The 24,618-nt window shown below is 55.8% G+C and overlaps 5 protein-coding genes and 3 pseudogenes across 5 annotated transcripts, besides 3 other annotated features; 1 reads left to right on the top strand and 7 right to left on the bottom strand.

The window, feature by feature from the left end:
- Window positions 9–1,208: an enhancer, noted in NCBI's record as "MED14-independent group 3 enhancer chr7:63244112-63245311 (GRCh37/hg19 assembly coordinates)". NCBI's record gives its function as "activates an origin of replication core promoter dependent on BRD2, BRD4, P300/CBP and CDK7 cofactors, and independent of MED14, by STARR-seq in HCT116 cells {active_cell/tissue: HCT116}" and the evidence as "EXISTENCE:reporter gene assay evidence [ECO:0000049][PMID:35650434]".
- Window positions 12–511: an enhancer, noted in NCBI's record as "H3K27ac hESC enhancer chr7:63244809-63245308 (GRCh37/hg19 assembly coordinates)". NCBI's record gives its function as "activates a minimal SCP1, AML or CMV promoter by ChIP-STARR-seq in primed H9 embryonic stem cells {active_cell/tissue: H9 hESC(primed)}" and the evidence as "EXISTENCE:reporter gene assay evidence [ECO:0000049][PMID:30033119]".
- On the bottom strand, window positions 10,791–13,366 carry LOC112267980 (putative uncharacterized protein FLJ46235; annotated as a pseudogene).
- Window positions 13,826–15,740, top strand: CICP24 (capicua transcriptional repressor pseudogene 24; annotated as a pseudogene).
- LOC124901643 (putative uncharacterized protein FLJ44672) lies at window positions 17,130–19,899 on the bottom strand. Its single transcript, XM_047421140.1, has one exon. It carries the CDS (start codon window positions 19,897–19,899, stop codon window positions 19,288–19,290), a length of 612 nt encoding a protein of 203 aa, XP_047277096.1. The 3' UTR covers window positions 17,130–19,287.
- A 10-nt stretch (window positions 19,900–19,909) lies between these two features.
- LOC102724777 (putative uncharacterized protein FLJ46235) lies at window positions 19,910–20,971 on the bottom strand (annotated as a pseudogene).
- Window positions 20,972–21,008: 37 nt separating this feature from the next.
- Window positions 21,009–21,723, bottom strand: LOC124901646 (putative uncharacterized protein FLJ44672). The gene has a single exon (XM_047421143.1). It carries the CDS (start codon window positions 21,721–21,723, stop codon window positions 21,190–21,192), a length of 534 nt encoding a protein of 177 aa, XP_047277099.1. The 3' UTR covers window positions 21,009–21,189.
- A 573-nt stretch (window positions 21,724–22,296) lies between these two features.
- Window positions 22,297–22,797, bottom strand: LOC124901651 (putative uncharacterized protein FLJ44672). The gene has a single exon (XM_047421148.1). The coding sequence runs from the start codon at window positions 22,792–22,794 to the stop codon at window positions 22,297–22,299; it is 498 nt and encodes a 165-aa protein (XP_047277104.1). The 5' UTR covers window positions 22,795–22,797.
- Window positions 22,899–23,484: an enhancer, noted in NCBI's record as "H3K4me1 hESC enhancer chr7:63221836-63222421 (GRCh37/hg19 assembly coordinates)". NCBI's record gives its function as "activates a minimal SCP1, AML or CMV promoter by ChIP-STARR-seq in primed H9 embryonic stem cells {active_cell/tissue: H9 hESC(primed)}" and the evidence as "EXISTENCE:reporter gene assay evidence [ECO:0000049][PMID:30033119]".
- On the bottom strand, window positions 23,006–23,576 carry LOC124901648 (putative uncharacterized protein FLJ44672). The gene has a single exon (XM_047421145.1). The coding sequence runs from the start codon at window positions 23,544–23,546 to the stop codon at window positions 23,013–23,015; it is 534 nt and encodes a 177-aa protein (XP_047277101.1). The 5' UTR covers window positions 23,547–23,576; the 3' UTR covers window positions 23,006–23,012.
- Window positions 23,965–24,473, bottom strand: LOC124901652 (putative uncharacterized protein FLJ92257). Its single transcript, XM_047421149.1, has one exon. It carries the CDS (start codon window positions 24,471–24,473, stop codon window positions 23,976–23,978), a length of 498 nt encoding a protein of 165 aa, XP_047277105.1. The 3' UTR covers window positions 23,965–23,975.
- Between the last annotated feature and the right edge of the window lie 145 nt (window positions 24,474–24,618).

Here is a 24,618-nt window from a genome sequence, read left to right as displayed (position 1 = left end):
AAAGGAAAAGCAGATCTATTTACCCTTATACATTTGGGTCGTCCTTACTGCTGTGTCCTGCATCCACTGGCTGGAGTTGAACCTCACAATCTTAAACTGATGCCCGATTTGCTAATAGCCTAAAACTTCCCTAAATAGGTAAGTGCAGGGAAGAACAAAGAAAGAGAGGAAGTTGCTTATGAAAGGCTTAAGGAAGTAATAACATTTCCAAATAAGGAAGGGACATAAACTATGAGCTAAGACTTGCCTGGGCCTGTCCAGACATGCCTGAGTAAGCCAAGCAACTCAATGGGCTAAAGTGTAAGAACTAATAGTTGATAGGAGGCTTTAGAGTAAGGAGCTATTATTCCTAGTGTCTATTATTTTATGTTTAAACCAAGATGAGCTTTGAAGAGGAACTTTTCTACTTCCTACAGTTGTCCTGCTGCATTTTGTTGCAGCCCACAATGCATTGCAATCCTAGTTAGCTTAGAGCCTCTTCAAGTATTTGACTTATGACCCAAGTAGCTAGGCAGGCTGATAAGAACAGACAAAACCAGCTATTTTGTGGGCTAGTAAAGTTTCATCTTAGACTAAACTTCTTTGGTTCAGGTGGGGGCAACTAAAAAGGTGGGGGTGGTGACAAGCAGGCATAGAGTGTCCAAGCAGAAACCTAGTATGTACTGTTTCTTTTGTAGTTTGCTGGCCTAACCTGATTTAAGCCACTTTGTCTTGGAAATGGACCACTGTATACATTATTTCCTTCACCCAGCTAATTTTAAATTTTTTTGTAGAGATGAGGTCTCATTCTGTTGCCCGCTGGTCTTGAACTCTTGGCCTCAAGTGATCCTCCTGCCTCAGCCTCCCAAAGTGCTTGGATTACAGACATGAGCTACCTGTTCAGTCATCTTTGTTTAAAAAAGAGAGTTTGGAGGACTCCAACTAGGAACTATTGGAGGAATCTTGGCCAGATATGATTATAGCTGGGTTGAAACAATGAAAACAAAACAATGAAACAAGATAAAAAGGAGGAAGACGGGGAAAGGCTGGGAAGGTTACAACCAACAGGACTTGCAAGTAAGCAGATCTGGTGGCAAAGGTCAGGGAAAACCAAAGACTTCCAGGTCACCAGGTGACAAGGCAAGTTACGGCACATGGTAGTGCCGGCAGATGGAGGGGGAGTGCATACCACCACACAGTTGGCCCACACACTCTGGCTGCAAAGGGCCAGGGACCACATGGTCTTTAGCTTGCTGCCTGAATTTGGACAACTCACTCCCTCTCACTCCGTGTCTTCACATTTCCAAAATGAAGCTAAAACAAACCCTTCTCCAGCTTATTTTGTTTCTGTTTTGTTATTTTCTGAGATGGAGTCTTGCTCTATTGCCCAGGCTGGAGTGCGGTGGTGCGATCTTGGCTCACTGCAACCTCCGACTCCAGGGTTCCTGCCATTCTCCTGCCTCAGCCTCCCAAGTAGCTGGGATTACAGGTGCCGACCACCATGTCTGGCTAATTTTTTTGTATTTTTTTTAGTAAAGACAGGGGTTTCACCATGTTGGCCAGGTTGGTCTCGAACTCCTGACCTCAGGTGATCCACCTGCCTCAGCCTCCCAAAGTGTTAGGATTACAGGTGTGAGCCACTGTGCCCGGTCTCCAGCTTGTTTTAAGAATCGAGTAACATCGCCATGTTTAATTGGCTTAGATATTCAGAAGCTGTTGATGTGAATGTTTAATGAACTTTATGAGTAAACAAATTAGATCAAAGTAAGTGGACTCCATGAAGCCAAGTATTATGCCTTCTGGATATGCCACCTGGTAACCCCTCCTTCAGCACACTGTGCCCCTTGACAGGCATCATGGGAGCAGGGACAGAGAAGGTGGGTGGGGAGCACAGGGACAGAGACACAGTGACATCCGCCCCTGTCTTGCCCCCATCCCATCCACCCTTTTTTTTTTTTTTTGAGATGGAGTTTCACTCCTGTTACCCACGCTGGAGTGCAATGGCGCAATCTCAGCTCACTGCAACCTCTGCCTCCCAGGTGCAAGCAATTCTCCTGTCTCAGCTTCCCAAGTAGCTGGGATTACAGGCATGCACCACCACACCCAGCTAATTTTGTATTTTTAGTAGAGATGGGGTTTCACCATGTTGGCCAGGCTGGTTTCGAACCCCTGACCTCAGGTGATCCACCCGCCTCAGCCTCCCAAAGTGCTAGGATTACAGGCGTGAGCCACCATGCCCAGCCCCCATCCACCCCTTTCTATAACAAAATCATTTAATAATGGTTTCCCATGTGTAAAAGATTTGCTTCATTCAATCACAGAATAGACACTTGAGATTCAAATTTACTGAGGAAGAAACTATTCACATGCCAAGTAGGAACTTAAAAAAAAAAACAACCCTTAATCACTGTATCATTGAAGGAAAACCAATTTAAGGGATGTAGTGTTTATCCAGGCAAGCCTGGTTGGCTTCTTGGTTTTCTGTCTTACTCATTTCTTTCTCCTTCTCAAAGAGTAGATTTTATTTTCAAACCTGGGAAAAGAGGTGTTCAAGGTGGGAGGGAGATGGAGGTAGGAGGATGGCTTTAGATCAGGAGTTCAATACCAGCCTGGTCAATATAGCGAGACCTTGTCTGTAGAAAAAAAATTTTTTTTTTACTTAGCTAGATGTGGTTGGTGGTGCATGCCTGTGGTCCCAGCTTCTCAGGAGGCTGAGGGAGGAGGATCACTTGAGCCCAGGAATTTGAAGCTGCAGTGAGCTGTAATCATGCCACTGCACTCCAGCCTGCATGACAAAGAAAGACCCTGTCTAAAAACAACAACAAAGGGCCAGGCTCAGTGGCTCACACCTGTAATCCCAGCACTTGGGGAGGCTGAGGCAGGAGGATCTCTTGAGGCCAGGAGTTCGAGACCAGCCTGGGCAACATAGTGAGACCCTGTCTCTCTCTGTCTCTCTCTTTTTTTTTTTTAAAGAGATGTTTGGGATATTCCACTACGTAGACGTCCACTGCTGAACGGTCATAACCAAGACACATGGCCTGACAGCATGTGATGGTTATTTGTGTTTGTGCAAACTCCAGAGCAGCCCAAGCTCCTGGACAAAGAGACATTCCACTGTGTTTTTAACTGTCTTGATCAGACATATGAGGAGAGACAAGTCATTGTCTCCAGCATCAAAGGAATGAACCAAGATGTTGATTTTGAAGAGCCAACACTTTCCCAAGAAGCCTCCACAGTGTGACATCACAGGGCCTCTACCAGCACTGAGTGTCAGAATTGAGGCATGTGAAGCTGGGCCACATTCTAGCAGAGGCCCTGCTCAAAATGTGGCCTGGAGTAATCAAAAGATGTTGACATGGCAGCTCCTCACCAGGTGTCCTGCTCCCTTTATTGTCCATCTATGTCCAGTCTCTTAACAAGCAGCTGGAATGTTCTTTTTAGTGTTTTTGTTTTGTTTTGCTTTGTTTTCTTTGAGTCTTGCTCTGTCACCCAGGATGGAGTGCAGTGGCATGATCTCTGCTCACTGTAACCTCCACCTCCCGGGTTCAAGCAATTCTTGTGCCTCAGCCTCCTGATTAGCTGGGATTACAGGCACCTGCCACCATGCCCGGCTAATTTTTGTATTTTTTAGTAGAGACGGTGTTTCATCATGTTGGCCAACCTGGACTTGAACTCCTGACCTCAGGTGATCCACCCGCCTAGGCCTCCCAAAGTCCTGGAATTACAGGCATGAGCCACTGCGCCCGGTTTTTTTGTTTTGTTTTTAGCTATCAGGTCTAGCTCTGACTCTCAAGCTGGAGTGCAGTGGTTCAATCATGGCTCACTGCAGCCTCTATCTCCTAGGCTCAAGAGATTCTCTCCCCTCAGCCTCCCGAGGAGCTAGGACTACAGGCATGTGCCACCACATCTGATGAAGTTTACTCTTGCTACCCAGGCTGGAGTGTAATGGCCTGATCTCAGCTCACTACAAATCTGCCTCCCAGGTTCAAGCAATTCTCCTGTCTCAGCCTCCCAAGTAGCTGGGACTACAGGCATTCGCCACCACACTGGCTAATTTTTGTATTTTTAGTAGGGATGGGGTTTCACCATGTTGGCCACACTGGTCTTGAACTCCTGACTTCAGGTGATCCACCTGCCTTAACCTCCCAAAGTGCTGAGATTACAGGCATGAGCCCTGCACCTGGCACACCTGGTTCATTTTTTTAAATGTTATTTTTGCAGAGACAGGGATCTCTGTATGTTGCCCAGGCTGGTCTCAAAATGTTACTCTCAAATGATCCTCCCCCTTCAGCCTCCCAAAGTGCTGGGATTAGAGGCATGAATCACTGTGCCCAGCCTCATTCTCTTTTAATTAGCTCAGTTTCAGTTTCTTATTATACAAATACCATCAAATAGAAAATGTCAATGTTAAGCAGGATTTCCATGTAAAGGTGGCAAATCACAAAATCTCCCTTCCTTGATACTTATTCATTCTTTTTTTGTTCTTTTTATTTATTTTTTGAGATGCAGTCTCACTCCGTCACCCAGGCTGGAGTGTGATGGCACAATCTTGGCTCACTACAACCTCCACCTCCCAGATTCAAGTGGTTCTCCTGCCTCAGGCTCCCGTGTAGCTGGGATTACAGGTGTGTACAAGCATGCCCAGGTAATTTGTGTATTTTTAGCAGAGACGAGGTTTCACCATGTTGGCCAGTCTGGTCTGGAACTCCTAACCTAAAGGTGATCCACCTGCCTCGGCCTCCCAATGTCCTGGGATTACAGGCATGAGCCACTGCACCCGGGCCCTTGATACTTATTCATTCTAATGACATTTAGTGTGCACCTACTATGTGCCAAGTACTATATTAGGTTCTGAGAATGACTAAGATGGGACTCCTGCTGCAGGGAGCCTTTGTTCTGATTTGGTGTGAGTTTGGGAGGAGGATATGTAGGCAAGCAATTCAATAAATAGCAAGCTGATTTTTGAGTGTGATATCTGCTTTGAGAGAACCAGGCAGAATGAGGCAATGAATCCTCCCTCTCCACAGGATGAGGGAGGATTTCTCTGCCAAGGTGATGTGTGAGCTGAGGTCTGGAAAATCTAGTAAGGAATGACTGGCCTCGAGCCAACCCTGGCTAAGCTACAGAGCTTCAATGATAAAGAAAGTACTCCACTGGCCTTTGGGCAGGAAAACATAAGTACATGTGAGAAGAACCTCCAGCCAGCCTCAGAGCTTCCCATAACCCCAGATAGAGCTAGATGACAATAAAGTCAGAACTTAAAGGAAGAACAAAGAAAAGGAAAATGAATCAAGAATATTCTCCCAGGCCCGTTGTGGTGGCTCACGCCTATAATCCCAGCACTTTGGGAGGCCAAGGAGGGTGGATCACTTGAGGTCAGGAGTTCGAGACCAGCCTTGCCAAAATGGTGAAATTCTGTCTCTACTAAAAATACAAAAATCAGCTGGGCATAGTAGCGTGCATCTATAATCCCAGCTACTCAGGAGGCTGAGGCAGGAGAATCACTTGAACCCGGGAGGCAGAAGTTGCAGTGAGCACCACTGCACTCCAGCCTGGGTGACAGAGCAAGACTCTGTCTCAACTAATAATAATAATAATAATAGAATAGTTATTCAAGTATAAACGCATTAAACAGAAACTCTCAAACATGCATCAATTCCAAAAATACAGCAGCTGTGGGTGAAAATAGAAACTGCAGGTTAAAAAGAATCATGATACTTTTGTATCTTTTTTCATAATTTTAATGAATGTTGAATAAAAAGATATGACCTTCACGTAGACTTTTATCTGAAGTTCAGAAATTCTCCCACCTTACTTTAGTTTCTTCAGCTTCTGTTGTATCAAGCAAAATAAATATTATATATATTTGAACTAAAACACATATAAAATATGTAAAGTTTTTTTTTTTTTTTTGAGACAGTGTCTCTCTGTTGCCAGGCTGGAGTGCAGTGGTGCAATTTTGGCTCACTGCAACCTACGCCTCCCAGGTTCAAGTGATTCTCCTGCCTCACCCTTCCAAGTAGCCGGGATTACAGGCACCCGCCACCATGCCCAGCTAATTTTTCTATTTTTAGTAGAAACAGGGTTTCACCATGTTGGCCAGGATTGTCTCGATCTCCTGACCTCGTGATCTGCCCAATTCACCGTCCGAAAGTGCTGGGATTACAGGCGTGAGCCACTGCACCAGGCAAAGTTATTTTTAATCCATTAATACATCTACTTACTTAACTACCTATTTGCACAAAAAGAGGTGTGAATTATCACTTTTTTTTTTTTGACACAGAGTCTCTCTCTCTCTGTTGCCCAGGCTGGAGTGGAATGGTGTAATCTTGGCTCACTGCAACCTCTGCCTCCGAGACTTAAGAGATTATCGTGCCTCAGCCAGGCATGAGCTATCAGGCCTGGTCATATCACATAATGTTAAGTTATTTTTTGGTGGTTGAAAATTTCATGATTTATTACTTGCTTCTTTGTACTTTTCTTGTTTTGCTTTCTCTTCTCTCTCTCGCTCTCCCTCTCTGACAGGGTCTCACTCTGTTACCCAGGTTGCGATCTCAAACCCCTGGATTCTAGTGACCCACCTGCCTCAGCCTCCCAAGTAGCTGGGACTACAGGTGTACATTACTATAACTGGCTTTTAATTTTTTAGAGATGGGATCTTGCTATGTTCCTCATGCTGGTCTCATACTCCTGGCCTTGAGCAATCCTTCTACCCTGCCTTCCCAAAGTGCTGGGATTACAGGTGTGAGCTATAGCACACGGCCTGCTTTGTACTTTTCTACAGGACTTAGATTTTATATAATAATTAAAAATATTTTTTACAAAAGCAGTAGTCACTCTAAACTTTTTAAAATTAAGCAATGATTAAGAATGAGGTACAGAAAGTAGTATTAATTCAGCACCTATTATATACTAGATATTTTGCATACAGCGGATCACATAGTCCACATATCAAGGCAGGAATTATAATCTTTATTTATTTTTTTATTTTGTTTTATTTTTGAGATGGAGTCTCACTCTGTCACCCAGGCTGGAGTGCAGTGGCATGATCTCGGCTCACTGCAACCTTCACCTCCCGGGTTCAGGCCATTCTCCTGCCTGAGCCTCCTGAGTAGCTGGGACTACAGGTGCCCGACACCAAGCCTGGCTAATTTTTTTTTTTTTTTTGAGGCAGAGTCTCGCTCCATCGCCCAGGCTGGAGTGCAGTGGTGCAATCTTGGCTCACTGCAAGCTCTGCCTCCCAGGTTCACGCCACTCTCCTGCCTCAGCCTCCCGAGTAGCTGGGACTAAAGGCACCCGCCACCACGCCCGGCTAATTTTTTGTATGTTTAGTAGAAACGGGGTTTCACCGTGTTAGCCAGGATGGTCTCGATCTCCTGACCTCGTGATCCGCCCGCCTCTGCCTCCCAAAGTGCCGGGATTACAGGCGTGAGCCACCGCGCCCGGCCAATTTTTGTATTTTTAATAGAGACTGGGTTTCACCATGTTAGCCAGGATAGTCTCGATCTCCTGATCTCGTGATCCACCTGCCTCGGCCTCCCAAAGTGCTAGGATTACAGGCATGCGCCACTGCGCCTGGCCCTTATAATCTTTATTTTCCAGGAGACAAAAATGTGGATTACAAGCATTTCCTGGTTCTAGAGATACACAGCTACTGCCAAAACAATTTCCCCCTTTCCAGCAGCCTGCCCCCTGCTGGTTTTATCAAATTCAATCCCCCCACTTCCACCCCCACATCTGTGCGCAAGAATGTTCACACACACACACATTTCTGCTATATTCCATCTGCCTAGGCCAGGAGCTTGTCATGACAAACCAAATGCAATACCTATTTCCTGACCAAAGCTGTTATTCAGTATCTCTATGATTTGAGAAATAGTTTGATTTCACCCTGACAAGGATCACACTGAGTTTTTAATAGAAGTAATAATTACAAACCATGCTAGTCTGTGTGAAAGCATGTGATGTTCAGATATATCCAGCCCTTTGAGATGCTCTGCTGGAAGGTGGTTGAGGTACAAAGTACTATTGACTCATGGTCATCTTGGTCCATGGTCATTAATAATGATAGTTTGTACTTCTTTCGTGTTTGTGCTAAGGGTGGTTTCAAAACCTGGAAGAAGCTTATCAATTTCTAGGTATTCAAATATATCTTTCACAATGTATGTGTGTGTGTATGTGTGTGTGTGTATGCTGTGAAGATACATACACACATATATTCACATATGAATATATACACACATTTATGTATTTACATTATACTAATAAAAAAATAAATTCTTTTTTTTTCTTTTGAGATAGAGTCTCACTCTGTCACCCAGGCTGGAGTACAGTGGCATGATCTCAGCTCACTGCCACCTCTGCCTCCCATGTTCAAGCAATTCTCCTGCCTCACCCTCTGGAGTAGCTAGGACTACAGGCGCCTGCCACCACACCAGGCTAATTTTTGTATTTTTGGTAGAGACGGGGTTTCACCATCTTGGCCAGGCTGGTCTTGAACTCCTGACCTCGTAATCCACCCACCTCATCCTCCTAAAGTGCTGGGATTACAGGCATGAGTCACCGTGCTGGCATAAAGTAAATTCTTAATGATCCATGAAAAGAAAATGGTAGGCCAGGTGTGGTGGCTCCCACCTGTAATCCCAGCACTGCAAGAGGCTGAGGGGGAAGGATCACTTGAGACTTGGAGTTTGAAACCAGCCTTGGAAACATGGTGAGACCCCCTCTCTACAAGAAATATAAAAATTACCTGGGCATGGCGGCTTGTACCTGGGGTTAAAGTTACTCAGGAGGCTGAGATGGGAGGATCACTTAAGCCAAGAAAGAAGATGTTGCAGTGAGCCGGGGTCATACCACTGCACTCCATCCTTAATGACAAAGTCATACCTTGCCTCAAAAAAGGGAAAAAATTGGTATCCGTGAAAAATGTAAAATATCTATATATACATAAATCTATATAGAAATAGTATATTAATGAAAAAGTAAATTCTTAATAGTTCATGACAAGCAAATAGCAGGCCAGGCATGGTGGCTCATGCTTGTGATCACAGCACTTTGGGAGGCTCAGGCAAAACGATTGCTTGTGTCCGAAAGTCTGGGAACAGCCTGGGCAACAAAGTGAGAACCAACTTCTCAGAAAAAATTAGAAATTAGCCAGGCATTGTGGCATGTGCCTGTAGCATCAGCTACTCAAGAGGCTGAGTTGGGAGAATCACTTCAGGCCAAACGGCCAAGGCTGCAGTGAGCCATGATCACACGACTACACTCCAGCCTGGGTGACAGAGCAAGACCCTAACAAAACAAAAAAGATAACTGTAAAAAAATATAAATATAGAAAACATGAAGTGAGAAGCTACCATGTCCAGAGCAAAGAAAAAGGGCCCAAGCAGAGGCTCATTCTGACTCCCACCCAAAGAAGACAAGAAAAACTATGAGACACTAAATAAAACAAACATCACTATGAAACCACACAGGCAGAATTTATTATAAATTTGTCAGAAATCCACTGTCAAGGTTAAAAGAAGAGACAGGTGTTTTGCTAAGGCACTCTGCTGTGCAGTGAAGTTACCAACAAATAAGAGTCCAGGGAAGCTTTAGGCTCCTTGATGCTGTTGACCATTAAAGACTAAAAAGCGGGATCTGGAAAAGGTGACTGCAAAGCAAAAGCAAAGCCAGAAGAGGCCATGATGAGGCAGATGATGGGTTCCAGTGGCCACTATGAGGCCAAAGATGGGCCAGAAGAGGCCATCATGGGTTCGACTGGCCACTATGAGGCCGAAGATGGGCCAGAAGAGGCCATCATGAGAAAGGAGCTGGTATAACTGAGACAACTGTGAGACAGGAGCTGGGACTTGGGAGGCAGATGTGAGGAAAGAGATGAGCCAGGTGAGGACAGTGAGAGGCAGCAGCTGGGCTTAGAGAGGCCAGTGTGAGGCAAGAGCTGGGTCTGTTGAGGCAGCCTGGGGAAGCAATTGTCAGGCAAAAGCTGGGCCTGTTCAGGGAGCCACCAGGAAGGCAGTGAAACCGGAGGACTCAACTTGAGAAAGATTTGAGTCTACAAAGGCGAGGAGCTGCACAGGAGCTAATCCAAAGAGGACGTTGTGAGGCAAAAGCTGAACCTTTAGACACAAAATGTAGGAAGAAAAGGGGAAGAAGTGGATGCCTGGAGACAGCAACTGGACCTGGAGAGGCAGACTTGAGAAAGTTCTGGGCCTACAGAAGCTGCAAAAATGAAAAAACTCGACCTCGAGAGGCTGTTGAGAGGAATGAGGTAAGCCTAAAGAGGCCATTTGAAGGCAGGAGCTGGTCCTGTCGAACTTGCTGAAACGCAAGAATTTGGACTGGGAAGGTCACAGTGAGGCAAGAGCTCAGTGTGGAGAGTCAGCTGTGAGGCAGAGGCAGGGTCTGTACGGGCCTTCAGGATGCAAGAGGCTGGGCCAGGAGAGGCCGACAGGAAGTCCAGTTCTGGGCGTGAAGAGGCAGACAAAAGTCAAAAGCTGGGTCTGGGAAGGCTGCCGAGAGGCATGAGCTGGGCTAGGCCTAAAGAGGCCATTGGGAGGCAGGAGAAGCTGAGCTTGGAGAGGCCGACTTGATGAAGTTGTGCACCTGGAGCGGCCGCCAAGAGGCAAGAGCTGGGCCCGGGGTGGGCGACTTGAGGATGACTTGTGCCTGCAGGGGCTGCTGGAAGGAAAAGCTGGGCCTGGAGATGCCGACTAGAGGAAGTTCAGGACCTGGAGAGGATGCAAAGGAGCAAATGCTAGGCCTGGAAAGGCTGCTGTGAGGCATGAGCTTGGCGTATGGAGGCCACTGGGAGGCAGGAGCTGGGTCTGCAGAGGCTGCCGAAAGGCAGGAGGCTTGCCCTGAGTAGGCCACGGTGAGGAAGGAGGTGGGCCAGGAGGGCCCACTGCGAGGTAGAGGCTGGGCCTCTAGACGCCACCAACAGGCAGGGGCTGGCCCTGGAGAGGCCAGGAGAGGCATGAGCTGGGCCTCGACAGGCCAGCATAAGGGAGGACCTCGGCCTACAGAGGCCAGCGTGAGGCAGGAGCTCACACCTCTGGGAAGGTGGCCAGAGGCATAAGTTGGGCCTGAACAGGCCACTCTGAGGGAGGAGCTGGGCCTGTCGAGGCTGCTGGGAGGCAGGCAGGAACTAGGTCCTGGGAAGCCACAGTGAGGTGAGAGCTGGAGCTGGAGAGGCCCCTCAGAGGCAAGAGCAGGGCCTGCAGAGGCTGTTCTCAAGCCACAGCTGGGTCTGTACAGGCCACTGCGAGGCAGAAGGTGGGCCTAAATAGCTTAGCGGGAGAAAGTTTTGGGCCTACAAAGGCTTAGGACAGCTGGACAGGAGCTGAGTCAAAAGAGGTGTGTTGTGAGGCAGGAGTTGGGCCTGTAGATGGACCTGAGAGGAAGAGCTGGGCCTGGAGAGGCAGCCATGAGGGAGGCAGAGGCTGGGCCTGTAGAGACCAATGGGAGGCAGGAGATGGCCCTGAAGGGGCCACTTGGAGGATGTGCTGCGCCTGGAGAGGCCGTGGGGAGGCCGGAGCTGGAAATGGAGAGGACTTCAGGACGATTTGAGCCTGCAGAGGCTGCCGGGAGTCCCAAGCTGGGCCTCGAGAAGCTAACTGGAGAAAGTCTGGGGCCTGGAGATGCCACCAGAGGGCAGGAGCCGAGCCTGGAGAGGCCACAGTGAGGCCCGAGCTGGGCCTCGAGAGCTTTGCTTGAAGTTTTTGGCCTACAAAGGCCGCCAGGAGCTGGGCAGGAGCTGGGCCTGGAGGTGCCCACCATGAGGTAGAGGCCGGGCCTGTAGAGGCCGCCGACAGGCAGGAGCTGGGCCTGCAGAGGCCACGAGAGGCATGATCTGGGCCTCAACAGGCCAGCGTAAGGGAGGACCTCGGCCTAGAGAGGCCAGTGTGAGGCATGAGCTGACACCAGGGCGGGATGCAAGAAGCATGAGTTGGACCTAAAGAGGCCACCGTGAGGGAGGAGCTCAGCCTGTCAGGGCTGCCGGGAGGCAGGCAGGAAATGGGCCCTGGGAAGTCGCCGTGAGGTGAGAGCTGGGCCTGGACAGTCCCCTGGGAGGCAGGAGTGGGGCCTGCAGCGGCTCTTCTCAAGCTAGAGCTGGGTCTGTGCAGCCCCCCGCTAGGCAGGAGGTGGGCCTAAAGAGCTTGACTGGAGAAAGTTTTGGCCCTACAAAGGCTGGAAGGAGCTGAGCCAAAAGAGGTCATTGGTTGTGAGGCAGAATTTGGGCCTGGAAACATAGCCGGGAGGAAGAGTTGGGCCTGGAGAGGCAGCCAGGAGGGAGGCAGAGGCTCCTCCACCACAGTCAGAGGAGTGGGGCCCCATCCTCTCCAGGCCCTGAATTTACTCCATTCAGCCTCTCCGGGCCCAGCTGTTCCTCCCAGCTGCGTCTCCAGACCCGACTGCTGCCTCCCAACAACCTCTTTGGACTCAGTTGCTGCCCAGCTCCTGGAGGCCTTGGTAGGCCCACAGCTTCCTCAAGCCAAGCTCCCCAGGCCCAGCTCAGGCCTCACGGTAGCCTCTCCAGGCTCAGCTCCTGCCCTCCGATGGCATCTCCAGGCCCCAAATGGCCTCTGGTCGGTGGGGTCCTCCAGGCCCAGCTTGGGCCTCCCAGCGGCCTCTGCAGACCCAAGTCGTCCTGAAGTCGGCCTCTCCAGGCCCAGCTCCGGCTTCCCGGTGGCCTCTCCAGGTGCAACGCGTCCTCAATGAGGGCCCCTCCAGGGCCAGCTCCTGCCTCCCATCAGCCTCTAGAGGCCCAGCCTCTGCCTCCCGCCTGGCGGCCTCTCCAGGCCCAGCTGTTCCTCCTGGCTGCGTCTCCCGGCCCAGCTCCTGCCTCCCAGCAAGCAATCTGTTTTGGCTCAGCTCCTGCCTCCCAGCAAGCAATCTGTTTTGGCTCAGCTCCTGCCCAGCTCCCGCTGGCCTTTGGAGGCCCCAAACTTTCTCCAGCCAAGCTCTTCAGGCCTACCTCCTGCCTCCCGGTGGCCTGTACGGGCCCAGCTCTGGCTGGAGAACAGCCTCTGCAGGCCCCGCTCTTGCCTCCCAGGGGCCTCTCCAGGCCCAGCTCTCACCCCACGGTGGCCTCCTGGGGCCAAGTCCCTGCCTGCCTCCCGGCAGTCGGCGAGCGGCCCAGCTCCTCCCTCACAGTGGCCTGTTTAGGCCCAACTCGTGTCTCTGGCACCCTGTCCAGAGGCGTGAGCCCCTGCCTCACACTGGCCTCTCTCATGCTGAGAGAGGTCCTCCCTCACGCTGGTCTGTTGAGGCCCAGCTCATGCCTCTGGTGGCCTCTCCAGGTCCAGCCCCTGCCTGTTGGCGGCCTCTAGACGCCAAGCCTCTACCTCAACAGTGGGCCCTCCAGGCCCACCTCTTGCCTCGCCATGGCGTCCTCGGGCCAGGCTCCCCGCCTCGGGGCTGCCTCCACACACCCAGCTCGTGCCTCGCGGAGGCCCTCCGGAGGCCAAGCTCATGCATCACGGCGGCCACCAGGACCACTAGGTCTACCTTAAAAAAATGCTTAAGGGAGTTTTTCAAGTAAAAATGAATGAAGTTGGGAGCGGTGGCTCATGCCTGTAATCCCATTTTGGGAGGCTGAGGTGGGTGGATCACCTGAGGTCAGGAGGTCAAGACCAGCCTGGCCAACATGGTGAAACCCCACCTCTAATAAAAATACAAAAAATTAGCCAGGTATGAAGGCCACTGAGATTGTGCCACTGCACTCCAACCTGGGTGACAAGAGTCAAACTACATTTCAAAAACAAAAAACAAAACTTGAGGCCTGGCCTTCTGCTCCTCTCCAAACCCCCTTCTCTGGGCCCAAGACACCTTGGCTGAGGAGGGGGCTGAGGAGGTGTGAGCCCCTGCCAGGAACCCCCTGCCCAGACCAAGTACTCGGCCCACAGGACTGTGTCCAGCGAGGCCTCCCGTGGCGTCAGCGTGTTCGTGTGGAGGAATGTGGAACCTCACTCTGTGGCCGTGTTCCCCTGGTACTCCGTCCCCTTCCTGACCCCTCCCTGGAGCCACACGAGGCCCAGCAACCTGCCAGTCACTCAGTGGCCTCCAACCAGAGCAAACAACCTGCCAAGTTGGCAGCTGTTGCTCATGAGCATCCACCAGGTGGGACAGGGAGTGTTGACCCTGGGTGGCCCCCTGGAGCCACCTGCCCTGAAAGCCCAGGGCCCAGAACCCCACACACTTTGGGGGTGGTGGAACCTGGTAAGGGCCCACCTCCCACCATGGAGGAGGAGCCCTGGGCCCCTCAGAGGAGTCCCTGCTGGACAATGAGACAGAGAATGACCACGATGATGCTTTCCTCTCCGTCATGTCTCCTGACACCCAGTTGCCTCTACCACTCAGATGATGTCAGGCCCAGTCCCTCAGTGCCCTGCGCAAGGAACAGGACTCATCTTCTGAGAAGGATGGATGCAGCCCCAACAAATGGGACAAGGACCACATCCCGTGGCCCATAAGTGGTGGTCATGAGCTTCAGCAAGCGGCACCAGGCCCTGGCAGGGCGCACCAGGGTCACCCCAACCAGGACAACCGGACCGTCTGCCAGATCCTGAGCGAGCGGTGGTACACCCTGGGGCCCAATGAGATGCAGAAGTACCACGACCTGGCCTTCCAGGTGAAGGTGGCCCACTTGCAACAGGGACCGAAAGAAGTACAGCTCAGAGGCCAAGCCCACAAGCCAGGGGCTAGCAGGAGTATACAAGGGCTCCTGGGAGCAGAGTATATCAGAGACGAGCACTGCCACTGCCCCTGGGGTGTCCTCTGAACTCCTGTCAGTTGCAGCCCAGACACTCCAGAGCTCGGATACCAAGGAGCAGCTTCTGTGGGGCAGAACGGCTGCATACAGGGAACCTGGCTCAGCCTGGCCCAAGCCTTCTCCCACAGGGGTGTACACAGCCTGGACGGCAGGGAAATAGACCGTCAGGCACTACAGGAACTGACAGAAGTGGTGTCTGGCACTGCATCATACTCTGGCCCAAAGCCTTCTACTCAGTATGGAGCTCCAGGCCACTTTGCAGCCCCTGGTGAGGGAGGTGACCAGTAGGCAGCCCTGCTGCTGCCCACCTGAGCTGCTCATTCCCAGCACATGGCCAGTGACGACATAGTGAGTGATGAGGAGCACATGGTCATCCATGAGGAGGAGGGGGTGACAATGTCATTGCTGATGACGGCTTTAGCACCACTGACACTGATCTCAAGTTCAAGGAGTGGGTGACCGACTGAGAGTGGTGACAGCTCTGGGGAGGAGCCAGAGGGCAACAAGGGCTTTGGTGGGAAGGTATTTGCACCTGTCATTCCTTCCTCCTTTACTCCTGCCGCCCCTTGCTGGATCCTGAGCCCCCAGGGTCCCCCGATCCATCTGCAGTTTTTGGCAAAGTCCATGGTCCCACCCCCTCCTCCTCCTACACATACTCGGATGCTTCCTCCTCAACCTTGGCACCCACCTCCTTCTTACTGGGCCCAGGAGCCTTCAAAGCCTAGGAGTCTGGTCAGGGCAGCAGAGTGGGCCCCCTACGGCCCCAACCCCTGGGGATGGGGGCCCAGGGATGCCTTCCAAGGTGACCTGTTTCCTCCCAATGGATCCTTCCACCTTCTGGTGCAAGAGACCTGAAAGTGTGGGCGACCTGGAGCTACCAGGCCCCTCAGTCATCGCAGTCCCTCCCAACACTAAGGCTTTCCTAGGCAGGAGCTGGGCTGAGCCACCCAGGGGGCAGAGCCTGAAGAGGAGAAACTGGGCTTTGGGGGTTGGGGCAGAGGGAACCCCACGGACATGGATCCCGCACTGGACGACCCCACCACACCCAAATGCAAGATGAGAAGATGCTCCATCTGCAGCCCAAAGCCCAACACCCCCAAGTGTGCCATGTGTGATGGGGACAGCTTCCCCTTTGCCTGTACAGGTGGAGAAGCCAAGGACGGGCTCAGGGAACCGGAGACCGAGAAGGCGCTGTCCTCTTCACTGCACGCGCCCTGGACCAGTGCCGGCCCTGATCGTGCAGCTTTTCCAGGCCCACTGCTTCTTCCTGTCCACTAGGCCACAGCCGCTCTCCAGGCCCACTATGCACACATCTTCCCCTCCAAGGTTTGTTCTGCCCCTGCCCTGACTCCCAGCCCTGAGGGGGTCCTGTCCCCACCTCACCTGGCTCAGACTCTGACGCTGCCCTGGCTGCCCCACCACTGCCTCTGCCCAAGAGTCACGTGAGGCTGAGAGTAGGGGCAGGGGCAGCAATGGTGCCAGTTGGGGGGCGGTCCAGTGGGAGGAGGCTCAGCCTCGCGGGCTGCTCCGTGGGACTGATGACTGCATGATCTTCTGGGCACCTCACGGATCTTCAACTGCAGGTGAAACGGATGCTGGTGGTGGGTGCAGGGCCGCTGGGAGCCGCTGCATGGGTCCCAGAGGCTGGACTGGGGCAGGTGCCAACTGAAGCTGCTGGGGCAGCATGGGCAGGATGCTCTGCACACAAACCTTGGAGAAGAAGATGTGTGCATAGTGGGTCCACTGCTGCTGCCCCTGCCCTGACTCCCAGCCCTGTCTGACCCCACCTCACCCTGCTCAGGCTCTGGCGCAACCCTGGCTGCCCTGCCACTGCCTCTGCCCCAGAGCTGGGGCCTCGACAGCCTGGCTGGAAGGGGACACCCCAGCCCTGCCTCAACACCTGGGTCCCTCCATAACTACCACAGGCAGGTGGGCGACCCCAAAGAAGATCCCAGGACTCGCAGTACCCCCTGAGAACACGGACACTATGTGGGGGTAGCAATGGAGGGCAGGATGGTTATCTTCTCCAGGATAAAGCCATTTAATCCTTTCAGTTTGGGAAGGAATAAGGCCTGCTTTTTTTTTTTTTTTCCTTTTGAGACGGAGTCTGGCTCTGTCACCCAGGCTGGAGTGCAGTGGTGAGATCTTGGCTCACTGCAACCTCTTACTGCCGGGTTCACGCCATTCTCCTGCCTCAGTCTTCTGGGTAGCTGGGATTACAGGTGCACGCTACCACGTCCGGCTAATTTTTGTATTTTTAGTACAGACGGGGCTTCACCATCTTGGCCAGGCTGATTTCAATCTCCTGAAATCGTGATCCACCGGCCTCCACCTCCCAAAGTGCTGTGATTACAGGTGTGAGCCACCACGCCTGGCCAAGGCCTGCTCCTCTTATATATACCCCCTACCCCTGCAGCTGTGCCGGGGGAAAGCTGGGCAGTTTCCCTCCTCTGAGCCCCTGTACATACCATGAAGTGTGGGACCTTCAGAGCTTTTCACTTTTCGGAAAATAGCTCCTGCTGGGGCTACAAGATGGAGTGTGAAGAGGGCCTTGGGCCACAGGGAGGTGCCTGTGGAATAGGGGGAGTTCATGCACCCCTTCTTTCTCCAGAGGGGCTGGACTCAGGTGAGTATGGGGGTGGGGGCTCCTGCACTTCGACACAGGCAGCGGGAGGGTTTTCTCCCGATTCCCTCTGCACTCCCAACTTGAGTTGTACTTTTTAAGAAAGTGATTCACCCTGCCTTTGCCCCCTTCCCCAGAACAGAACACGTTGATCATGGGCGATATTTTCTATTGTGCCAAAAAGTTGCCATGACTGTCATTAAACCTGTTTAACACCAAATAATAAGGAAAATAAAATAAAAAATTCGGGCTTGGTGCAGAAACTCACTCCAAATAAATTACCTACCAAAATATTTATATAATGGTGGAAATATTCCAAAATTCCATATTTTGGGATTTATACACAAAAGATAAAAAAAATTAGAGGCCAAGAGGCTGCCGGAAGGGAAAAATGGGGCCTGGAAAGGCCATTGTGAGGAATGAGCTGGGCCTAAAGAGGCCACTGGCAGGCGGGAGCTGGGCCTGCCGAAGCGGCCGAAAGGCAGGAGCTTTGGACTGGGGAGGCCACAGTGAGGTGAGAGCTAGCTGGGCGTGGAGAGTCTGCTGTGATTCCGAGGCCGGGCCCGTGCAGGCCTTCGGGAGGCAGGATGCCGGGCCTACAAAAGCTGACTGGAGATCAAGTTCTGGGCCTGAAGAGGCCACCAAAAGTCAAAAGCAGGGCCTGGGAAGGCTGCCTACAGCCACGAGCTGGGCTGGGCTGAAAGAGGCCTTCGGGAGGCAGGATGCCGGGCCTGCAAAAGCTGACTGGAGATCAAGTTCTGGGCCTGAAGAGGCCGCCAAAAGTCAAAAGCAGGGCCTGGGAAGGCTGCCTACAGCCACGAGCTGGGCTGGACTGAAAGAGGCCACTGGGAGGCAGGAGGAGCTGGACCTGGAGAGGCTGACTCGAGGAAGTTTTGCACCTGGAGAGGCCGCCGAGAGGACGGAGCTGGGCCCGGGGAGGCCAACGTGCAGCTCTTCCAGGCCCACTTCCAGGCCGACTTGAGGATGACTTGGGCCTGCAGAGTCTGCCGGGAGGCTGGAGCTGGCCCTGGAGAGCCTGACTCAAGGGCAGTCTGGGCCTGCAGAGGCCGCCATGCGGGAGGCAGAGGCTGGGTCTCTAGAGGCTGACGAGAGGCAGGAGCTGGCCCCGGAGGGGCCCTCGTTGACGATGCGTTGCGCCTGGAGAGGCCGCCGGGAGGCCGGAGCTGGGCCTGGAGAGGGCGACTTCAGGACGATTTGGGCCAGCAGAGGCCGCCGGGAGGCCCAAGCTGGGCATAGAGGAATCCACCGACTGGAGGCCGTTCGGGGCCTGGAGACACCGTCGGAGGGCAGGAGCTGAGCCTAGAGAGGCCACCGTGAGGCCTGAGCTGGGCCTGGGGAGCTTGGCTTCAGGAAGTTGTGGGCCAACCAGGGCCACCGGGAGTTGGGCGGGAGCTGAGTCCAAAGAGGTTGTTGGGAGGCCGGAGTCGGGCCTGGAGACGCAGCCGGGAGGAAGAGCTGAGCCCGGAGAGGACGCCGGGAGGCTGCAAGTGGGTCTGGAGAGGCCGACTTCAGGAGGCCCAGCCTCTGCCTCCCTCATGGCAGCCTCTGCAAGCCCAGCTGTTCCTCCTGGCTGCATCTCCTCAAGTGGGCCCAGAGGTTCTGGGTCCTGAGAGGCAGTCGGACGGGAAAAAATGGGCCTGGAAAGGCCGTTGTGAGGAATGAGCCCCATGGGCCTGAAGAGGCCACTGGCAGGTGGGAGCTGGGCCTGCCGAAGCGGCCAAGAGGCAGGAGATTTGGACTTGGGAGGCTGCAGTGAGGCGAGAGCTAGCTGGGGGTGGAGAGCCCACTGTGAGGCAGAGACTGGCCCTGTGCAGGCCTTCGGGAGGCAGGAGGCCGGGCCTGGAGAGGCCGACTGGAGGTCAAGTTCGGAATCTGCAGAGGCTGCGGAAAGTCAAAAGTGGGGCCTGGGAAGGCCACCAGGAGGCATGAACTGGGCTAGGCCGAAAGAGGCCACTGGGAGACAGGAGGACCTGGGCCTGGAGAGACTGACTCGAGGAACTTTTGCACTTGGAGAGGCCGCCGAGAGGCCGGAGCTGGGCCTGGGGAGGCCGACTTGAGGACGACTTGGGCCTACAGAGGTCTCCGGGAGGCAGGAGCTGTCCTTGGACAGGCCTACTTGAAGACAGTCTGGGCCTACAGAGGCCGCCGGGAGGCAGGAGCTGTCCCTGGACAGGCCTACTTGACGACAGTCTGGTCCTGCAGAGGCTGCTGGGAGGAAGAGCTGGGTCTGGAGAGGCCGACTGGAGGAAGTGCAGGACCTGGAGCCCATGCAAAGGAGCAAACGCCAGGCCGGGAGAGGCCGCCCTGACGCATGAGCTTGGCCTCCGGAGGGCCGTGAGGCAGGAGCTGGGCTTCCGGGGGCCGCCCCAAGGCGGGAGCCTGGCCCGAGGAGGCCACGGCGAGGAAAGAGGTGGGCGTGGAGGGCCCACTGTTGAGGTAGAGGCTGGGCCTCTAGAGGCCGCCAACAGGCAGGGGCTGGGCCAGGAGAAGCCAACAGAGGCATGAACTGGGCCTCAACAGGCCAGCGTGAGGGAGGACTTCTCTCAGCGTGAGAGAGGCCAGTGTGAGGCAAGGGCCTCACGCTGACCTCCCTCAGCGTGAGAGAGGCCAGTGTGAGGCAGGGCCTCACGCTGACCTCCCTCAGCGTGAGAGAGGCCAGTGTGAGGCACGGCCTCACGCTGACCTCCCTCAGCGTGAGAGAGGCAAGTTTGAGGCAGGGGCCCACGCTGACCTCCCTCAGCGTGAGAGAGGCCAGTGTGAGGCAGGGGCTCACGCTGACCTCCCTCAGCGTGAGAGAGGCCAATGTGAGGCAGGGGCTCACGCCTCTGGAAAGGGTGCCAGAGGCATGAGTTGGGCCTCAACAGGCCACCGTGACGGAGGAGCTGGGCCGCACACAGGCTGCTGGGAGGCAGGCAGGGACTTGGTCCCGGGAGGCCGCCGTGAGGCGAGAGCTGGGCCTGGAGACGCCCCTGGGAGGCAAGAGCGGGGCCTGCAGAGGCTGTTCTCCAGCCAGACCTGGGCCTGTACAGGCCACCGGGAGGCAGGAGGTGGGACTGAGGAGCTTCGCTGGAGAAAGTTCAGGGTCTACAAAAGCCGGCGGGAGCTGGGCAGGAGCTGAGCCAAAAGAGCTTGCTTGCTGGGAGGCCGGAGCTGGGCCTGGAGAGGCTGACTTCAGGACCACTTGGGCCTGCAGAGGCCGCCGGGAGGCCCAAGCTGGGCCTGGAGAAGCCCACCGACCGGAGGCCGTTTGGGGCCTGGAGACGCCGTCGGAGGGCAGGAGCTGAGCCTGGAGAGGCCACCGTGAGGCCTGAGCTGGGCCTGGGGAGCTTGGCTTGAAGAAGCTGTGGGCCGACCAAGGCCACCACGAGCTGGGCAGGCACTGAGTCCAAAGACGTTGTTGGGAGGCAGGAGTCGGGCCTGCAGACGCAGCCGGGAGGAAGAGCTGGGCCCGGAGAGGACGCCGGGAGGCTGCAAGTGGGTCTGGAGAGGCCGACTTGAGGAGCTTCTGGGCCCGGAGAGGCCGCCGGAAGGGAAAAACTGGGCCGGGAAAGGCCGTTGTGAGGAATGAGCCCCATGGGCCTGAGGAGGCCACTGGCAGGTGGGAGCTGGGCCTGCCGAAGCGGCGAAGAGGCCGGAGCTTTGGACTCGGGAGGCCGCAGGCGAGAGCGAGCTGGGCGTGGAGAGTCCGCTGTGAGGCAGAGGCTGGGCCTGTGCAAGCTTTCGGGAGGCAGGAGGCCAGGCCTGCAGAGGCCGACTGGAGGTCAAGTTCGGGGCCTGCAGAGGCCGCGGAAAGTCAGAAGCGGGGCCTGGGAAGGCCGCCGGGAGGCATGAGCTGGGCTGGGCTGAAAGAGGCCACTGGGAGACAGGAGGAGCTGGACCTGGAGAGACGGACTCGAGGAACTTTTGCACCTGGAGAGGCCGCCGAGAGGCCGGAGCTGGGCCTGGGGAGGCTGACTTGAGGACGACTTGGGCCTGCAGAGTCTGCCGGGAGGCAGGAGCTGTCCCTGGACAGGCCTACTTGACGACAGTCTGGTCCTGCAGAGGCTGCTGGGAGGAAGAGCTGGGCCTGGAGAGAACGACTGGAGGAAGTGCAGGATTTGGAGCCCATGCAAAGGAGCAAACGCCAGGCCGGGAGAGGCCGCCCTGACGCATGAGCTTGGCCTCCGGAGGGCCGTGAGGCAGGAGCTGGGCCTGCGGGGGCCGCCCCAAGGCGGGAGCCTGGCCCGAGGAGGCCACGGCGAGGCAAGAGGTGGGCGTGGAGGGCCCACTGTTGAGGTAGAGGCCGCCAACAGGCAGGGGCTGGGCCTGGAGAAGCCAACAGAGGCATGAACTGGGCCTCAACAGGCCAGCGTGAGGGAGGACTTCTCTCAGCGTGAGAGAGGCCAGTGTGAGGCAGGGCCTCACGCTGACCTCCCTCAGCGTGAGAGAGGCCAGTGTGAGGCAGGGCCTCACGCTGACCTCCCTCAGCGTGAGAGAGGCCAGTTTGAGGCAGGGGCCCACGCTGACCTCCCTCAGCGTGAGAGAGGCCAGTGTGAGGCAGGGGCTCACGCTGACCTCCCTCAGCGTGAGAGAGGCCAGTGTGAGGCAGGGGCTCACGCTGACCTCCCTCAGCGTGAGAGAGGCCAATGTGAGGCAGGGGCTCACGCCTCTGGAAAGGGTGCCAGAGGCATGAGTTGGGCCTCAACAGGCCACCGTAACGGAGGAGCTGGGCCGCACACAGGCTGCTGGGAGGCAGGCAGGGACTTGGTCCCGGGAGGCCGCCGTGAGGCGAGAGCTGGGCCTGGAGACGCCCCTGGGAGGCAAGAGCGGGGCCTGCAGAGGCTGTTCTCCAGCCAGACCTGGGCCTGTACAGGCCACCGGGAGGCAGGAGGTGGGACTGAGGAGCTTCGCTGGAGAAAGTTCAGGGTCTACAAAAGCCGGCGGGAGCTGGGCAGGAGCTGAGCCAAAAGAGCTTGCTTGCTGGGAGGCCGGAGCTGGGCCTGGAGAGGCTGACTTCAGGACCACTTGGGCCTGCAGAGGCCGCCGGGAGGCCCAAGCTGGGCCTGGAGAAGCCCACCGACCGGAGGCCGTTTGGGGCCTGGAGACGCCGTCGGAGGGCAGGAGCTGAGCCTGGAGAGGCCACCGTGAGGCCTGAGCTGGGCCTGGGGAGCTTGGCTTGAGGAAGCTGTGGGCCGACCAAGGCCACCACGAGCTGGGCAGGCACTGAGTCCAAAGAGGTTGTTGGGAGGCAGGAGCCGGGCCTGCAGACGCAGCCGGGAGGAAGAGCTGGGCCCGGAGAGGACGCCAGGAGGCTGCAAGTGGGTCTGGAGAGGCCGACTTGAGGAGCTTCTGGGCCCGGAGAGGCCGCCGGACGGGAAAAACTGGGCCGGGAAAGGCCGTTGTGAGGAATGAGCCCCATGGGCCTGAGGAGGCCACTGGCAGGCGGGAGCTGGGCCTGCCGAAGCGGCGGAGAGGCCGGAGCTTTGGACTCGGGAGGCCGCAGGCGAGAGCGAGCTGGGCGTGGAGAGTCCGCTGTGAGGCAGAGGCTGGGCCTGTGCAAGCTTTCGGGAGGCAGGAGGCCAGGCCTGCAGAGGCCGACTGGAGGTCAAGTTCGGGGCCTGCAGAGGCCGCGGAAAGTCAGAAGCGGGGCCTGGGAAGGCCGCCGGGAGGCATGAGCTGGGCTGGGCTGAAAGAGGCCACTGGGAGACAGGAGGAGCTGGACCTGGAGAGACGGACTCGAGGAACTTTTGCACCTGGAGAGGCCGCCGAGAGGCCGGAGCTGGGCCTGGGGAGGCTGACTTGAGGACGACTTGGGCCTGCAGAGTCTGCCGGGAGGCAGGAGCTGTCCCTGGACAGGCCTACTTGACGACAGTCTGGTCCTGCAGAGGCTGCTGGGAGGAAGAGCTGGGCCTGGAGAGAACGACTGGAGGAAGTGCAGGATTTGGAGCCCATGCAAAGGAGCAAACGCCAGGCCGGGAGAGGCCGCCCTGACGCATGAGCTTGGCCTCCGGAGGGCCGTGAGGCAGGAGCTGGGCCTGCGGGGGCCGCCCCAACGCGGGAGCCTGGCCCGAGGAGGCCACGGCGAGGCAAGAGGTGGGCGTGGAGGGCCCACTGTTGAGGTAGAGGCCGCCAACAGGCAGGGGCTGGGCCTGGAGAAGCCAACAGAGGCATGAACTGGGCCTCAACAGGCCAGCGTGAGGGAGGACTTCTCTCAGCGTGAGAGAGGCCAGTGTGAGGCAGGGCCTCACGCTGACCTCCCGCAGCGTGAGAGAGGCCAGTGTGAGGCAGGGGCTCACGCTGACCTCCCTCAGCGTGAGAGAGGCCAATGTGAGGCAGGGGCTCACGCCTCTGGAAAGGGTGCCAGAGGCATGAGTTGGGCCTCAACAGGCCACCGTGACGGAGGAGCTGGGCCGCACACAGGCTGCTGGGAGGCAGGCAGGGACTTGGTCCCGGGAGGCCGCCGTGAGGCGAGAGCTGGGCCTGGAGACGCCCCTGGGAGGCAAGAGCGGGGCCTGCAGAGGCTGTTCTCCAGCCAGACCTGGGCCTGTACAGGCCACCGGGAGGCAGGAGGTGGGACTGAGGAGCTTCGCTGGAGAAAGTTCAGGGTCTACAAAAGCCGGCGGGAGCTGGGCAGGAGCTGAGCCAAAAGAGCTTGCTTGCTGGGAGGCCGGAGCTGGGCCTGGAGAGGCTGCCTTCAGGACCACTTGGGCCTGCAGAGGCCGCCGGGAGGCCCAAGCTGGGCCTGGAGAAGCCCACCGACCGGAGGCCGTTTGGGGCCTGGAGACGCCGTCGGAGGGCAGGAGCTGAGCCTGGAGAGGCCACCGTGAGGCCTGAGCTGGGCCTGGGGAGCTTGGCTTGAGGAAGCTGTGGGCCGACCAAGGCCACCACGAGCTGGGCAGGCACTGAGTCCAAAGACGTTGTTGGGAGGCAGGAGTCGGGCCTGCAGACGCAGCCGGGAGGAAGAGCTGGGCCCGGAGAGGACGCCGGGAGGCTGCAAGTGGGTCTGGAGAGGCCGACTTGAGGAGCTTCTGGGCCCGGAGAGGCCGCCGGAAGGGAAAAACTGGGCCGGGAAAGGCCGTTGTGAGGAATGAGCCCCATGGGCCTGAAGAGGCCACTGGCAGGCGGGAGCTGGGCCTGCCGAAGCGGCGGAGAGGCCGGAGCTTTCGACTCGGGAGGCCGCAGGCGAGAGCGAGCTGGGCGTGGGGAGTCCGCTGTGAGGCAGAGGCTGGGCCTGTGCAAGCTT

This window comes from Homo sapiens, chromosome 7 (assembly GCF_000001405.40).
Source record: "Homo sapiens chromosome 7, GRCh38.p14 Primary Assembly".
Classification (NCBI taxonomy): domain Eukaryota; kingdom Metazoa; phylum Chordata; class Mammalia; order Primates; family Hominidae; genus Homo; species Homo sapiens.
Note: the sequence above shows the minus strand (reverse complement) of the source record. Positions and strands in the feature narration are given on the sequence as shown.

Coding starts and splice junctions, on each gene's coding strand:
- LOC124901643 (XM_047421140.1), bottom strand. CDS start 19,899: ATGCCTCTGTTGGCTTCTCCTGGCCCAGCCCCTGCCTGTTGGCGGCCT.
- LOC124901646 (XM_047421143.1), bottom strand. CDS start 21,723: ATGCCTCTGTTGGCTTCTCCAGGCCCAGCCCCTGCCTGTTGGCGGCCT.
- LOC124901651 (XM_047421148.1), bottom strand. CDS start 22,794: ATGGGGCTCATTCCTCACAACGGCCTTTCCCGGCCCAGTTTTTCCCGT.
- LOC124901648 (XM_047421145.1), bottom strand. CDS start 23,546: ATGCCTCTGTTGGCTTCTCCAGGCCCAGCCCCTGCCTGTTGGCGGCCT.
- LOC124901652 (XM_047421149.1), bottom strand. CDS start 24,473: ATGGGGCTCATTCCTCACAACGGCCTTTCCCGGCCCAGTTTTTCCCTT.